Source organism: Homo sapiens, chromosome 22 (genome assembly GCF_000001405.40).
Source record: "Homo sapiens chromosome 22, GRCh38.p14 Primary Assembly".
NCBI lineage: Eukaryota > Metazoa > Chordata > Mammalia > Primates > Hominidae > Homo > Homo sapiens.
In genome coordinates this window covers 19,854,904-19,869,666 of record NC_000022.11, presented here as the reverse complement: position 1 = coordinate 19,869,666, position 14,763 = coordinate 19,854,904, and the positions used below count along the sequence as shown (strand labels likewise).

The following is a 14,763-nucleotide window of genomic DNA, read 5'->3' as shown; positions in this document are numbered from 1 at the left end:
ACCCCAGCTTGGGGCGGGAACACCCCACAGGCTCCCTTTTTGTGATTATATAGGCGAGGCCATGCATGCTGAGGACTGCGAAGGACGCTGGTGTCTTCTGCATCATGGTCTCCCTGAAGCAGAGTTAGTTCCTGACCTACAAGGGTCACAATGTGGGACAGAATGTCAGGAGAGTGCAGCACCATCCGGATGTGTTCTCTTCAGGCCTCCTGCTCGATGAGTGAGGAGACCGAAGCCCAGACCCCCCACGGGCCCCCGGGCTGTGCAGTAGCGCACAGGCCTGCCACCACCCTCCCTGCCAAGGCCTCAGCACCGGGTCCCTGCCCATGGGAGAGGCGAGACCTCTGCAAGGATTCAATGGCTCATTGTTCTGCCCGCGGTGGCTGGAATTGGGCCGAGTGATTATAATAATAAAGTCCTAACAGTCCGCCTGTGGTTGGGTTTCCATAGCTTGGGGAGTATTTGATTTTCAAAGCCTCGGTGGGGCGGAGATGCCATATCAATGCAGCAGGCGCTTCCCATCAGCCAGTTCTTTACAGATCAGAGTCTCCCATCCAGTGCCTTACATCTCTGGAAAGGTGCTGTACCTGTCAGCTCCCAGGTGCCCAGGCATGTCAGGGCGGAAGACCGCACCAGGAGGCCCAGACACAGCAGGGATGAGTCCCGCCTTCACCAGCTCAGACAAGCTCTGATCCCACCCCACCCGCGGAGGGCCGCCGTGAGGACCAGACAGCCACCACGGTGGGGGCCCCCAGTGGGTGGGGACACTGCCTTTACTCCTGCCTGGGACTTTCTTCTGCACCCGCCTTGTCTGGCCTCTGTGCCTTTGCCCATGCTGTTCCCTCAGCCCAAAGCTGTGCCTTCCTCTTTCTGCCCTGGCTAATGCCCCCTCATTGGTTAAGATTCAACACACAGGCTCCCCTCCAGGAGTCCTCCCTGTCAGCTGGCAAGATGAGGCACCCGCTTAGGGCTCCCACAGAATGCTGTTTCTTGATTACTCTAAAGCCTGTCTTTCTCTCTTGCCCTGCAGGGGCCTCCCTTCTTCACATTTTTGTCCCCAGCATGGTACCTGCCACATAGTAGGTGCTCAAAGCATGGCTGTAAAGCATGGCATGAAGGCTTTATGCTATGTTTTCTGTTTTTAAGTGTCCATGGTTGACAGGGCGCAGTGGCTCACTCTTGAAAGCTACTCAGGAGGCTGAGGTGGGAGGAACACTTGAACCCAGGAGTTCGAGGCTGCAGTGAGCTATGATCACACCACTGCATGCATGACCTCCAGCCTGGGCAACACAGGGAGACCCCATCTCAAAGAAAAAAGAAAGGAAAATTCTAGGACAAAAAGTAAAGGTAAAAATAACAAGTGAAAATTGGACATTTAACTGGATGGACTGTATTCTTAAGAAGAGATTGGAGATGGCAGAAGTAAGGGTCAATGAACTTGAAGAGAGATTTTTAAAAAGTTCTCCAATCAAAAGTATAGAGAGTAACAAGATTAAAAAGAACAATGAAAAAACAGCCTTAGGGACCTGAGCGACAATATTAAAACAACTCACATCCTGATGTCTCAGGAGAGGAGAGAGAATGAGGCAGGAAAAAAAAACTGAAGAAACAATGACCTAAAGTTTCATGAATTTGTTGACAAACATCAAAGAATCACAGCAAACTCCAAGCAATATAAGGATAAAGAAACACAGCCAGGCCTATCACAGTCAAACTCTTGGACACCCCAAGATTAAGAGAAAACCTTGAAAGCAGCCGGGACATGTTGTACACGCCTGGCAACTTCCCATCAGAAAAAAGTGTATGGGCAGAAAGAAGAAAAAGCCAACTCCGGGCCAGGCACAGTGGCTCACACCTGTAATCCCAGCCCTCTGGGAGGCCGAGGTGGGCGGATCGCTTGAGGTCAGGAGTTTGAGACCAGCCTGGCCAACATGGTGAAACCCCGTCTTAAAAAAAAAAAAAAAAAAAAAAAAGAAGGCAACTCCAAGATCTATGTGCAGTGAACTACTTTTCAAACCCTAAACAGACATAAAGGCATTTCAGATAAAGTCAGCCAAGATCACTCCTTACCAGCAGACCTGCACTACAAAAACTGCAGTAAAAAGTTCTGCAGGCAGAAGGGAAATTTTCCCAGATGGAAACTTAGATGGACAGACCGAAATGAAGGGTACAGGAAGTGGGAATATACAGGTAAAGAAAAATACCGTATTTTTCCTTCTCTTATTTTCTTTAAACAATACTGATTACTTAAGAATTATAACAATGTATATTTGGGTTTATATTAATGAAAAACATATGACAGCAATAGCAAAAACATGGTTGCCAATGGAATTAATTATACAGATGCAAGGTTCTTACACTTAATGGGAAGTAGTACATATAAGGTGTAGGTAGTAAGTAGGTTATAATAAAGATATACAGTAAGTAGGTTATAATAAAGATGTACAATGTAAACTTCTAGAGCAACCACTAAAATACAAAGAGGTACATCTAAAAAGCCAGTATCAGGAGCTGTTTTTTTTTTCTTTTTTGTTTTTTTTGGTAAGTGGTGGTCCATTGTATAGATACGCCAATTTTGTTTATCCACTCACCTACTGGTGGGTTGTTTTTGGCTATTACAAATGAAGCTACAATGAATGTTAATGTAAAACTTTCTGTGTAGACATACATTTTCAGTTCTCTTGGATGAACATCTACGAGTGAAATGGCTAGGTCATAGGTAGGTATATGTTTAACACAAGAATGACAAATACTTTTTCCAAGATGATTATACCAGAGTCCCACCATCATTCTTCACATACGTTTCACACTTCATATTCTTTTCAGTTGCACATGGAACTTTCACCAAGTAGACCATACACTAGGACATAACAACAATAATAAATATCAATCATAAAAAGATAGCTTGGCAATGCTCCCAACTGGGAAATTATACAACACATTCTAAATAACTTAAGAATCAAAGACGAACTCATAAGAGAAATTGGAAAATATTTTGAATTAAATGACAATGAAAAAATAACACATCAATATTTCTAGAACGTAGCTAAGGCAGTGGTTGGAGGGAAATTTATAGCTTTAAATACTTATGTTAAAAAAGAAGAAAGGTTTACAATCTATGCCCTAAGCAACCTCCTTAAGAAACCAGAAAAAGGGCCGGGCGCAGTGGCTCATGCCTATAATTCCAGGACTTTGGGAGGCCGAGGCAGGCAGATCACAAGGTCAGGAGATCGAGACCATCCTGACTAACACGGTGAAACCCCATCTCTACTAAAAATACAGAAAAAATTAGCTGGGCGTGGTGGTGGTGCCTGTAGTCCCAGCTACTTGGGAGGCTGAGGCAGGAGAATGGCATGAACCCCGGAGGCAGAGCTTGCAGTGAGCCGAGAATGCGCCACTGCACTCCAGCCGGGGCGACAGAGTGAGACTCTGTCTCAAAAAAAAAAAAAAAAAAAAACACAAAACACAAAAAACAGAAAAAGAAGTTCAAATTAAAACCAAAGTAAATAGAAGGATGGAAATAAACATAAAAGTGGAAATCAATAAAATAGGAAACAAATAATGGAGAAAACCAGTAAGGTAAAATGTTGGTTATTTGAAAATAAAAAGCCATAAAATTACCTATATCAAAGATGAAAGAGGAAATACTGCTACAGAGACTACTGGCATTAAAAGGAGAATAAATCAATATGAACAAATTTAGTTCACTAAATTTGAAAATTTAGATGAACTAGACAGATTCCTTAATTTACACAAGAAGCAGCAGAAAATATGAGTAGCTCTATATCTATTAAAATAATTAAATTCTATCCCATAAAGAAAACTCCAGGCCCAGATGGTTTCATTGGTTAATTTGATCAAACATTTAAGGAAGAGATAATGCCAATATTACACCAATTATTTAGGAAAATAGAGAAGGGAGAAGCACCTCCAAACTCATTTTATGAGGCCAGCATCATCCCTCAAGAATACAGACGCAAAAGTCCTTAACAAAATGTGAACAAATTGTACTTAGCAACACGTACAAAGCATTCATTATGACCACATGGAATTTATCCCAGGAATGCAAGACAATTTCACAGCCAACATTTAATCAACGTAATTTATCACATTAACAGAATGACAAAGAATAATACCGTGATCATATCAACAGAGAAAGAGCATTTGACCGAATTCAACACCCATTTACGAAAAAATAAAACTCTCTAGGAACTAAAATGAAAAGGAAACTCACTCAACCTGATAAAAAGGCATTTAGGAGAAACATCTACAGCTTACGCTGTACTTAATTGTGAAAGACCAAACGCTTTCTTAAAATCAGGAACACGTCAAGGACGCCCACTCACACCACTTTCACTGAACATTGTCACTGACGGACCTGGCCACTGACATAGGCAAAAAAATCCTGTATAGATATGTATGCATATGTGTACACATCATATGTACATTATAGGTAAATCAATATGCAAATGTCATATACAAATGAACATATATATATGAAAGAAAAGCGCAATTGTTTTTAATTGTAGATGACACGATCATGGACATGGAAACTCCTAAGGAATCTATAAGACAACTACTAGACCTAATACGTGAATTTAGCAGGAACTCAAGGGAAAATGTCAAATCTACTTTTATATATTAGCTATGAACAACCAGAAAGTGAAATTTAAAACAATTTAAATGGACAAATAATGACACATACCCATGGGGTACATAGTGATGTTTCAATACATACAATGTGTGGTGATTAGATGCCGGTCAACTAGCTTATCCATCATCTCTAGCGCTTATCATTTCTTTGCGTTAGGGAACATTTGCTATCCTCCTCCTAGCTATTTGAAACTATACATTTTTGTTAACTGCAGTCATCCTACAGTGGTGTAGAACACTAGAATGTATTCCTCCCATCTAGCTGGAATTTTGTATCCTTCAACACGTCTCTCTCTCTCCCTCCCTTCCCCCAGCTCTAATAGCCTCTGTTTTACTTTTGACTAATGTGAGATCATTTTTTTTACCTTCCACATATGAGTGAGGACATGTGGTGGTTAAAAGTACCATTTACAGTAGCATCAAAAAACATAAAATGTGTAGGGATAAATTTAATAAAACATGCCCAAACCTATGCACTGCAAACTATAAACATTCCTGAAAGAAATTAATGAAGACCTAAGGTCGGGCACGGTGGCTCATGCCTGTAATCCCAGCACTTCGGGAGGCCGAGACAAGCAGATCACTTGAGTCCAGGAGTTCAAGACCAGCCTGGACAACATGGTAAGACCCATCTCTATTAAAAATACAAAAATTAGCCAGGCATGGTGACACATGCCTGTAGTCCCAGCTACTTGGGAGGCTGAGGCAGGAGGATCGTTTGAGCCTGTGAAGTGGAGGTTGCAGTAAGCCGAGATTGTGCTACTGCACTCCGGCCTGGGCAACAGAGTGAGACCCTGTCTCAAAAAAAAAAAAAAAGAAAAAAGAAAAGAAATTAATGAAGACCTAAATCAATGAAGAGATGTAATCTGTTCAAGGATTGAAAGATGAGATATTTTTAAGATGTTCTATGTCCCCAAATTTATAGATTCAACAAAATCTTAATCAAAATCCCATGAGCAATTGTCAGGCTGATTATTTTTATAGAAATTCACAGATTGATTACAAAGTTTACATGTATGTGCAGAAGAACTAGAATGGCCAAAACAATTTTGAAAAAGGAAAACAGAGTTGGAGGACTTACACTATCTAATTTCAAGTGTTACTATAAAGCTATCATTTTGTTTATAGAGACAGAGTCTTGCTATGTTGCCCAGGATGGTCTCAAATTCCTGGCCTTAAGTGATTCTCCCACCTTGGCCTCCCAAAGATTACAGTCGTGAGCATTGTGCCTGGCCAGCTACAATAATGAATACGGTATGCTTTGGGCCTGAGGACAAAAATCAGTGGAACACAATAGGGGTCCGGAAGTAGATCCGCACAAATGTAGTACCTGGATTTTAACAAGAGTGCCAAGGTGATTCAATGGAGAAGACGACAGTCCTTTTAATTAATGGTGCTAAAACAATGGGATGTCCATAAGGAGAAAACAAACTTTGACTCACATCACACATGAAAATCAATGCAAAATACACCACAGACCTGCATGTAGAAGTGAAAATAATAGAACTTCCAAAACTAAACAGAAGAAAACCTTCATAACGTTCAGGTAGCAAAGCTTCTTAGGGCACAAAAAGCACAGGCATCCAAATGTAAAAGTTTTGCTCTTCAAAAGGGCACATCAAGAAAGCGAGTAGGCAAGTGACAGATTAGGAAAGAGTGTTTGCAATATTTATATCTGACAAAGACTTTTATTCAGAATATATGCAAAAACTCTTGGCCGGGCACAGTGGCCTACACCTGTAATCCCAGCACTTTGGGGAGGCTGAGATGGGTGGATCACTTGAAGTCAGGAGTTCGAGAGCAACCTGGCCAACATGGTGAAACCCCGTCTTTACTAAAAAATTAGCCGGGTGTGGTGGCGCACACTTGTAATCCAAGCTACTCAGGAGACTGAGGCAGGAGAATCACCTGAACCTGGGAGGCGGAGGTTGCAGTGACTGGAGATTGCGCCCCTGCACTCCAGCCTGGGAGACACAGCGAGACACAACAAACAAAACAAAACAAAACAAAACAAAACAAAACACCCCCCAAGGCTCTTGCAAATTAATAGAAGGTGAAAAACAACCACATAAAATCATGGACATCATTAGTTACCAGGAAAATGCAAATCAAAACTACAATGAGATACCACTCCATTCCCGCCAGAATGATTAAAATGTAAAAGATTGACAATAGCAAGTGTGGTGAGGATGTGGAACAACTGACAACTGGAATGCACATACAATGCTGCAGGAAAGATGAGTTTCAGCTACTGTGAAACGCTCTTGGCAGTTTCTTCTTTTTTTTTTTTTTGAGATGGAGTTTCACTCTCTCACCCAGGTTGGAGTGCAGTGGTGCGATCTCGGCTCACTGCAACCTCCACCTCCCGGGTTCAAGCGATTCTCCTGCCTCAGCCTCCCGAGTAGCTGGGACTACAGGCGTGTGCCACGATGCCCAGCTAATTTTTATATTTTTAAATAGAGACAGGGTTTCACCATGTTCGCCAGGATGGTCTCGATCTCTTGACCTCGTGAACTGCCCGGCCTTGGCCTCCCAAAGTGCTGGGATTACAGGCATGAGCCACTGCGCCTAGAGGGCAGTTTCATATAAAGTTGAGTTAAATGTATTGGCCAGGCGTGGTGGTTCATGCCTGTAATCCCAGCACTTAGGGAGGCCAAGGTGGGTGGATCACCTGAGGTCAGGAGTTCGAGACCAGCCTGGCCAACATGGTGAAACCCCCAGCTCTACTAAAAATACAAAAAGTAGCCGGTCATGGTGGCAGATGCCTGTAATCCCAGCTACTCAAGAGGCTGGGGCAGGAGAATTGCTTGAACCCAGAAGGCAGAGGTTGCAGTGGGCTGAGATTGTGCCACTGCACTTCAGCTTGGGCTACAGACTCTGTCTCAAAATAAAATAAACAAATAAATAAAGTTAAATATATGCACCTACCCTATGATCCAGCAAGTCCACTCTTAGATATTTACCCAGAAGTAATGAAACCTTAGGTGAACAAAAAGAACTTGTTCAAGAATGCTGAGAGCAGCTTTATTCATAATGGTTCCAAACCAGAAATCACAAGAATGTCCATCAATAAGAGAACAGGGGCCTGGCACAGTGGATCACACTTGTAGTCCCAGCACTTTGGGAGGCCGAGGCGCGCAAATCACTTGAGACCAGGAGTTCGAGACTGGCCTTGGCAACAAGCAAGACCCCATCTCTACAAAAAATTAAAGAGACAGAGAGAATGGACAGACAAACTGTAGTCATGCAATGAGATGCTACACAGCACTCAGAACAAATGAGATTTACTATCACACTGTGCTTAAGAAAAACAAAAACAAAAAAACAAATGAGACACATGTGACCGCAACATTGATGAATCTTGCAAATGCTGTATTGACTGGAAAAGGCCAGACTCAAGAGTCTATACTGTAGCATTCCATTTGTGAGAAGTTCCAGAGTGAGCAAAATAAAGGGATGGAGTAGAAATCAGAACGGTGCCTGTGAGGAACGGGCCTGTGGGTGCTTTCAGGGAAAGGAGTGTTCCGTAGCTTACTCGTATGTGGCAGTGGTCTGCACATACAAAAGTCATGAAACCCTGCTGTTAAGATCTGTGCATTCTGGGAGTCTCTCCAAACCTATTCTGGTTTGGGAGGCTGCCTGATAACATTTTTTAAAAATATAAAAGATCCGTGCCTTCCATTGTAGTAAATCTTACCTCAATTTTGTTGTTGTTCGTACCTGAGACTTAAGTCTTACCTCAATTAAAAAAAATAAAAAAGAATGGAGTGAGTTCCACCTCTACAAAAATTTAAAAAGTTAGCCAGACATGGTGGTACACACCTGTGGTCCCCACTACTCAGGAGGCTGAGGCAGGAGAATCACTTGAGCCCAGGAGTTTGGGGCTGCAGTGAGCTATGATCGTGCCACTGTACTCAGCCTGGGCAACAGAGACCCTGCCTTTAAAAAAATTGTTTTTTAATTAAAACAAAACTAAAGAATGGAAGGAAACCCACAAAGAGAACACTGGTTTCTAAGGGGTGAAGCGCAAACAGCCCCAGGGTCACCAGGCTTGGGTGCCCAGCCACCTCCCTGCCCTGGCTAAGATGGAAGGGTGTCTGAAGTATCCAAAGGAGTCAAGTAGGGTGCAGCCCCACCAGCAGGGCAGGAAGGAGACTCCTTTCTGGGAATGAAACTGGGGCCTCTGATGGATACGAAAGGATTCAGTTCCACATTTTTTTTTTTTTAATTTGAGACAGGGTCTCACTCTTGCACAGGCTGGAGTGCAGTGGCACAATCATAGCTCACTGAAGCCCCAAACCTCCCGGACTCAAGCAATCCTTCTGCCTCAGCGTCCTGAGTAGCTGGGGCCACAGGTGCACAACACCATGCCCAGCTAATTTTAAAATTTGTTTTGTTTTAGAGATGGGCTCTCCCTATGTTGTCCAGTCTAGTCTCGAATTCCTGGGTTCAATCAATCCTCCCACCCTAGCCTCCCAAAGTGCTGGGATTACATGCATAAGCCACCACACATGGCCTAAAATCATTTAAAAATATATACATTGAAGCCGGGTGTGGTGGCTCACACCTATAATCCCAGTACTTTGGGAGGCCAAGGTGGGAGGATTGCTTGAGCCCAGGGGTTTGGGACCAGCCTGGGCAACATAGGGAGACCCTGTCTCTACAGAAAAAGAAAAAAGTGCCAATGTGGTGGCACACACCTGTTGTCCCAGCTGCTCGGGAGGCCGAGGGGGTAGGATCACTTGAGCCCAGGAATTGAGGCTGCAGCGAGCTGTGTCCAGGCTGAGTGATGGAGCGAGACCCTATCTCAATAAAAAAAGAAAAAAGAAAAAATGTATACATTGAAATCAATGTAATACACCACATTAGAAAGAAGGGGAAAAAACACATGATCATCTCAATTGATACAGAAAAAGCACTTGACAAAATTCAACACCTTTTCATGATAAAAATACTAAATAAACGAGGAACAGAAAGACACTTCCTCAATATGATAAAGCCCATACATGAAAAACCCACAGCCAACATCACACTCAATGGTGAACGACTGAAAGCTTTTCCCCAAAGATCAGCAACAGGGCAAAGATACCCGCTTTTGCCACTTCTATTCAAGATAGTACTGAAAGTCCTAGCCAGAGCAATTAGACAAGAAAATAAAAGGCATCCACATTGGATAGGGAGTAAAATTATATTTTTTCACCAATGACATGATCTTATAGCGATTCTATAAAAACAGAATAATTAACAAATTCAGCAAAGTTGTCAAATACAAAATCAACACACAGAAATCAGTTGCATTTCTATATAGTACTAGCAGTGAACACTTCATGAAGGAAATTAGCAGTTTCATTTAAATAGCATCAAAAAGAATAAAATACATAGGAATTAACCAAGGAGGTGAAAGACTTGTACACAGAAAACTACAAAATATTGTTGAAAGAAATTAAAGAAGACATAATTAAATGGAAAGACATCCTGTGTTCAATTATATCCATTTAAAGACACAATTAAATGGAAAGACATCCTGTGTTGGAAAGTTTAATATTGTTCACATGTCAGTACTACCCAAAGTGGTCATCAGAGGCAATGCAATCCTATTAACATCCCAACAGTGTTTTTTTAGAAATATAAAAACCTATCACAGGCCAGGTTCGGTTGTTCATGCCTGTAATCCCAATATTTTGCCAAGCCTAGGAGTTCAAGACCAGCCTGGGCAATATAACGAGACCCTAGCTTTAACAACAACAACAACAAAAAGCCAGGTGTGGTAGCACATGTCTGTAGTCATAGGTACTTTAGAGGTTGAGGCAGGAGGATCACTTGAGCCCAAGAATTTGAGGCAGCAGTGAGCTATTATCAGGCTACTAAACTCTAGTCTGGGTGACAGGGGAGACCCTGTGTCTAGTTTAAAAAAAAAAAAAAAAAGGCCGGGCACGGTGGCTCACGCCTGTAATCCCAGCACTTTGGGAGGCCGAGATGGGTGGATCACGAGGTCAAGAGATCAAGACCATCCTGGCTAACACGGTGAAACCCTGTCTCTACTAAAAATAAAAAAAATTAGCCAGGCGTGGTGGCGGGTGCCTGTAGTCCCAGCTACTCAGGAGGCTGAGGCAGGAGAATGGCGTGAACCTGGGAGGCAGAGGTTGCAGTGAGCCGAGATTGCACCACTGCACTCCAGCCTAGGCGACAGAGCAAGATTCTGTCTCAAAAAAAAAAATAAAAAAAATAAAAAAGAAAGGAAGATAAAACCCATCCTAAAATTCATATGGAATCTGTAGGAACTCCTAATAGCCAAAACCATCTTGAAAAAGAACAAACTTAGAGGCTTCTCACTTCCTGATTTCAAAATTTAAAACAAAGCCACAGTAATCAAGACTGTGTAGTTTGAACACTGTACTTTCCTGAAAAAAGAAAGACAGACATACAGACCAATGGAACAGACTAGAGAGCCTGGAAATAAACCCTTGCATATATGGTCAAATGATTTTCAACAAGGGTACTAAGATAGGGAAAGGATAGTCTTCAACAAATCATGCTGGGACATCTGGATATTCAAATGCAAAAGAATGAAGCTGGATCCCTACCTAACACCGTATGTAAAAATGAACTCAAAATGGGTCAAAGTCCTAAATATAAAGACCTAAACCTATAAAACTTAGCAGAAAACATAGGGCAAAACTTCATAGCACTGGATTTGGCAATGATTTAGATATAACACCACCACTACCACCAACATATAGACAAATTAGACTTGGAAATTAATGAAATTAATTTAGTGAAATTAAGTTAATGACATTTTAATGAAAATGAAAAACTTCTGTGTATCAAAAGACACTATCAACAGAGTGAAAAGGCAGCCTATGGAGAAATACTTGCAAATGATATATCTGACAAGGGATTAATATCCAGAATATCTAGAAAAATCTTACAACTCAACAATAAAAACAAAAATCCAGTGAAAAATGGGCATAGGACTTGAATAGCCATTTCTCCAGTGAAGATATACAAATGGCCAATAACAGGAAAAGATGCTCAATCTCACTAGTCATTAGAGAAATGCAAATTAAAATCACAATGGGACACCACTTCATACCGTTAGGATGGCTATTGGAAAAAAACAAAAGAGAAGGTAACCAAGTGTTGGTGAGGATGTGGAGAAGTTGGAACTCCTGTGCACTGTTGGTGGGAATGTAAAATGGTTCACTTGCTATGGAAAAGTTTGGCAATCTCTCAAAAAGTCAAACAAAATATTACCGTATCATTCAGCAATTTCACTCTTATGTACTGAAAGCAGGGACTCAAACATATACTTGTACACTAATGTTCATAGCAGCATTATTCACAATAGCCAAAAGGTGAAAACAACCCAAGTGTCAATCAACAAATGAATAAACAAAATCTGGTCAATGTGTACAAAGGAATATTACACAGCCTTAAAAATGAAGGAAGTTCTGACACATGCTACGATGTGGATGAACCTTGAAAACATGTTGAGTGAAATAATCCAGTCACAAAATGATAAATACTGTATGATTCCACTTATATGAGGTACCTAGAGTAATTAAATTCACAGAGACAGAATATAGAATGATGGTTACCAGGGGTTGCGAGTGGGAGGGGAAGAGGAGTTAATGTTCTGGAGTGAAGAAAAAGTTCTAGAAATAAATAGTGATCACTGGATATACAACAGCATGAATGTACTTAATGCTCCTGAACTGTATACCTAAAAATGGCTAAAATGGTAAATGTTACTATATTTTACCACAATAAAAAAACAGTCATATGTCACTTAACTGTGGGGATACACTCTGAGAAATGTGTCACTAGGCGATTTTGTCATGGAGGGATCCTCATAGAGTAACTTACACAAACTAAGATGGTAGAGCCTACTACACACCTAGGCTGTATGGTAAGGCCTGTTGCTCCTGGGCTACAAACTTGCACAGTGACTCTACTGAACAATGTAGGCAATTGTGACACAGTGGTATTAGTGCACCTAATCATAGCAAAGGTACAGTAAAAGTACAGTGCAAAAAATAAAAAATAGAACTGGTTAGGGCACTTGCCATGAACAGAGGTGCAGGACTGGAAGTTGCTGTGGGTGTGAGTGGTGAGTGAATGTGAAGGCCTAAGACATTATTGTACACTACTTTAGACTTTATAAACACTGTACACTTAGGCTGCAACACACTTATATTAAACATTTTCCTTTTTTTTTGAGATGGAGTCTCACTCTATTGCCCAGGCTGGAGTGCAGTAGCACAATCTCAGCTCACTGCAACCTCCGCCTCCTGGGTTCAAGCGATTCTCCTGCCTCAGCCTCCCAAGTAGCTGGGATTACAGGCACATACCACCACGCCCGGCTAATTTTTTGTATTTTTGGTAGAGACAGGGTTTCACCATGTTGACCAGGCTGGTCTCAAACTCCTGACCTCAAATGAGCTGCCCGCCTTGGGCTCCCAAAATGCTGGGATTACAAGCATGAGCCTCCACAGCGCCTGGCCTAAAAATTTTCTTTCTTCAATAATAAAATAACTATAGCTTACTGGATGACCAGTTACATATGTGGTCCCTAGTTGACCAAAACGTTGTTATGCGGTGCATGACAGTTATACACAGGAGAGGGCCTGAAAGAAAAAAAAAATTTGGACCAAAAAAGGCCTTTTCTGGCTCAGTTGGATTCATTTCTTCCACAGGCCCACTGCCCACTCTGCTGATGGGCGCTGAGCTGTAGACTGAGCTGCCTTGAGGCTGAGGTAAGCTGAATTTGTGGGAACCCCCACCTTTCCCTTGAGGGAGGAAGTTTAAATTATCAGGTCAATTAGGAAAGATACAACCGAAAAAAATCCAAATTTCATTCCCACTTCAAGGAGGCGTTTCCTGGCTCGGTGCCACTTTTATTATTTTTGGCCCAGGCTGCTGAAAGCCCCACAGACCCAGGGAAGGTACAATGTGACCTTTGATTCGCGTTTCAGGGATCAAAGTGAGTGAGTTTGGGTGTAAATGCAGATAACATTTCAGAGAGCTTTCATGAAAGGAGTCACTGGACCAGGGCAGAAAGGGAGCTGGTGTGTTACGTGTGTGTTCCCCTTGAGAAGCGTCACTTTCCGGTGAATCCGGCTGCCTGCCCGTGGCCCCAAGGACTCCTGGCTTGCATCCAGGTCCTTGGCCCACAGGCATCAGATCCTGAGCTGGGGCGCCTGCACCCTCTCCCACCTCTTCTCTAGGCACCGTGAAGCCGAGGAGAGGTGGCGTGGGACGGCTTGTGCAAGTGAGAAGAGCACCACCACTTCATCCTCACCTATCTTGTCCCAGGATCTGGGTGCTGACTCGGCAGGCTTGGGCTGGGCACGGCCCTGTGGGGAGGGCTTGGTAGCCTGCCCTCGCTGTCGTCTCCGGGTCCAGCCTCGGCCTGAGTCGGGAAGCACACAATTATATCCACAACAAGGAGGCCCAGAGGCCCTGCCTGCAGCCCCCAGGTATGCAGGTAGAGGGTCCTCTCGGACTGCCTGCCCCCTGCCTCTGGCGCCCAGCCTGCAGCTACGTCGAACCGGGCCCTAACAAGGTTCCCCGCACTGGCAATGAGTGATGAGAGGCACTCCGCGGGCACGCCGTTCCAGGGCGCTCACGAGGCCCAGCAGCCCCGCTATGCCCACATCCACCCCGACACCTGCAGCCCCCCAGGCTTAGCCCGGCCCCGCAGCAGCCCTCTCGACGCCCAGCAGCACCCCAGTGTCTGGCTGACGCCAGGGCAGTAACGGCGGGCTGAAGCAGCATCGGCCCCTCGGTCTACGCCACAGCCGGGTGCAGATTTCCCGGATCTGAGGGACCGCCGGGCACCGTCCGCTGGGGATCATGAGGGGCAGCTTTGGCCCGACCGTCTCGCGCCTGTACACGCGGCCCCACCTGATCCCGTGGCACTTGGCGCGGCGTGGGAATGGGCGCGCTCTCCCATCACCCACCGCGCGGCACTGCCGCGCCAGCAGGGACCGGGAGAGCCTGCGAGGTAGCGGCCACACGGCATACAGCGCAGGCGCGGCCTGGATGGGAGGAGCGCGTGGAGCGTGCCGGGAGCATGCGCCGGGTCGTACACGGCGGCCGCGCGCACGC

The 14,763-nt window shown here is 43.8% G+C and overlaps 1 long non-coding RNA gene across 2 annotated transcripts, besides 2 other annotated features; it reads right to left on the bottom strand.

Annotated features, from left to right (window-relative positions):
- Window positions 54-996: an enhancer, noted in NCBI's record as "H3K4me1 hESC enhancer chr22:19856194-19857136 (GRCh37/hg19 assembly coordinates)". NCBI's record gives its function as "activates a minimal SCP1, AML or CMV promoter by ChIP-STARR-seq in naive H9 embryonic stem cells {active_cell/tissue: H9 hESC(naive)}" and the evidence as "EXISTENCE:reporter gene assay evidence [ECO:0000049][PMID:30033119]".
- LOC124905080 (uncharacterized) lies at window positions 2,248-14,695 on the bottom strand. Of its 2 annotated transcripts, none has more exons than XR_007068005.1 (2): window positions 13,955-14,695; window positions 2,248-2,860 (listed from the first exon to the last, which is right to left on the bottom strand). It is a non-coding gene; the product is annotated as an uncharacterized LOC124905080 (long non-coding RNA). The 2 variants fall into 2 exon arrangements; XR_007068006.1 differs by lacking the exon at window positions 13,955-14,695 and adding an exon at window positions 9,354-9,455.
- Window positions 13,783-14,262: an enhancer, noted in NCBI's record as "active region_18663". NCBI's record gives its function as "activates an Ori minimal core promoter by ATAC-STARR-seq in GM12878 lymphoblastoid cells {active_cell/tissue: GM12878}" and the evidence as "EXISTENCE:reporter gene assay evidence [ECO:0000049][PMID:35858748]".
- Window positions 14,696-14,763: the final 68 nt, after the last annotated feature.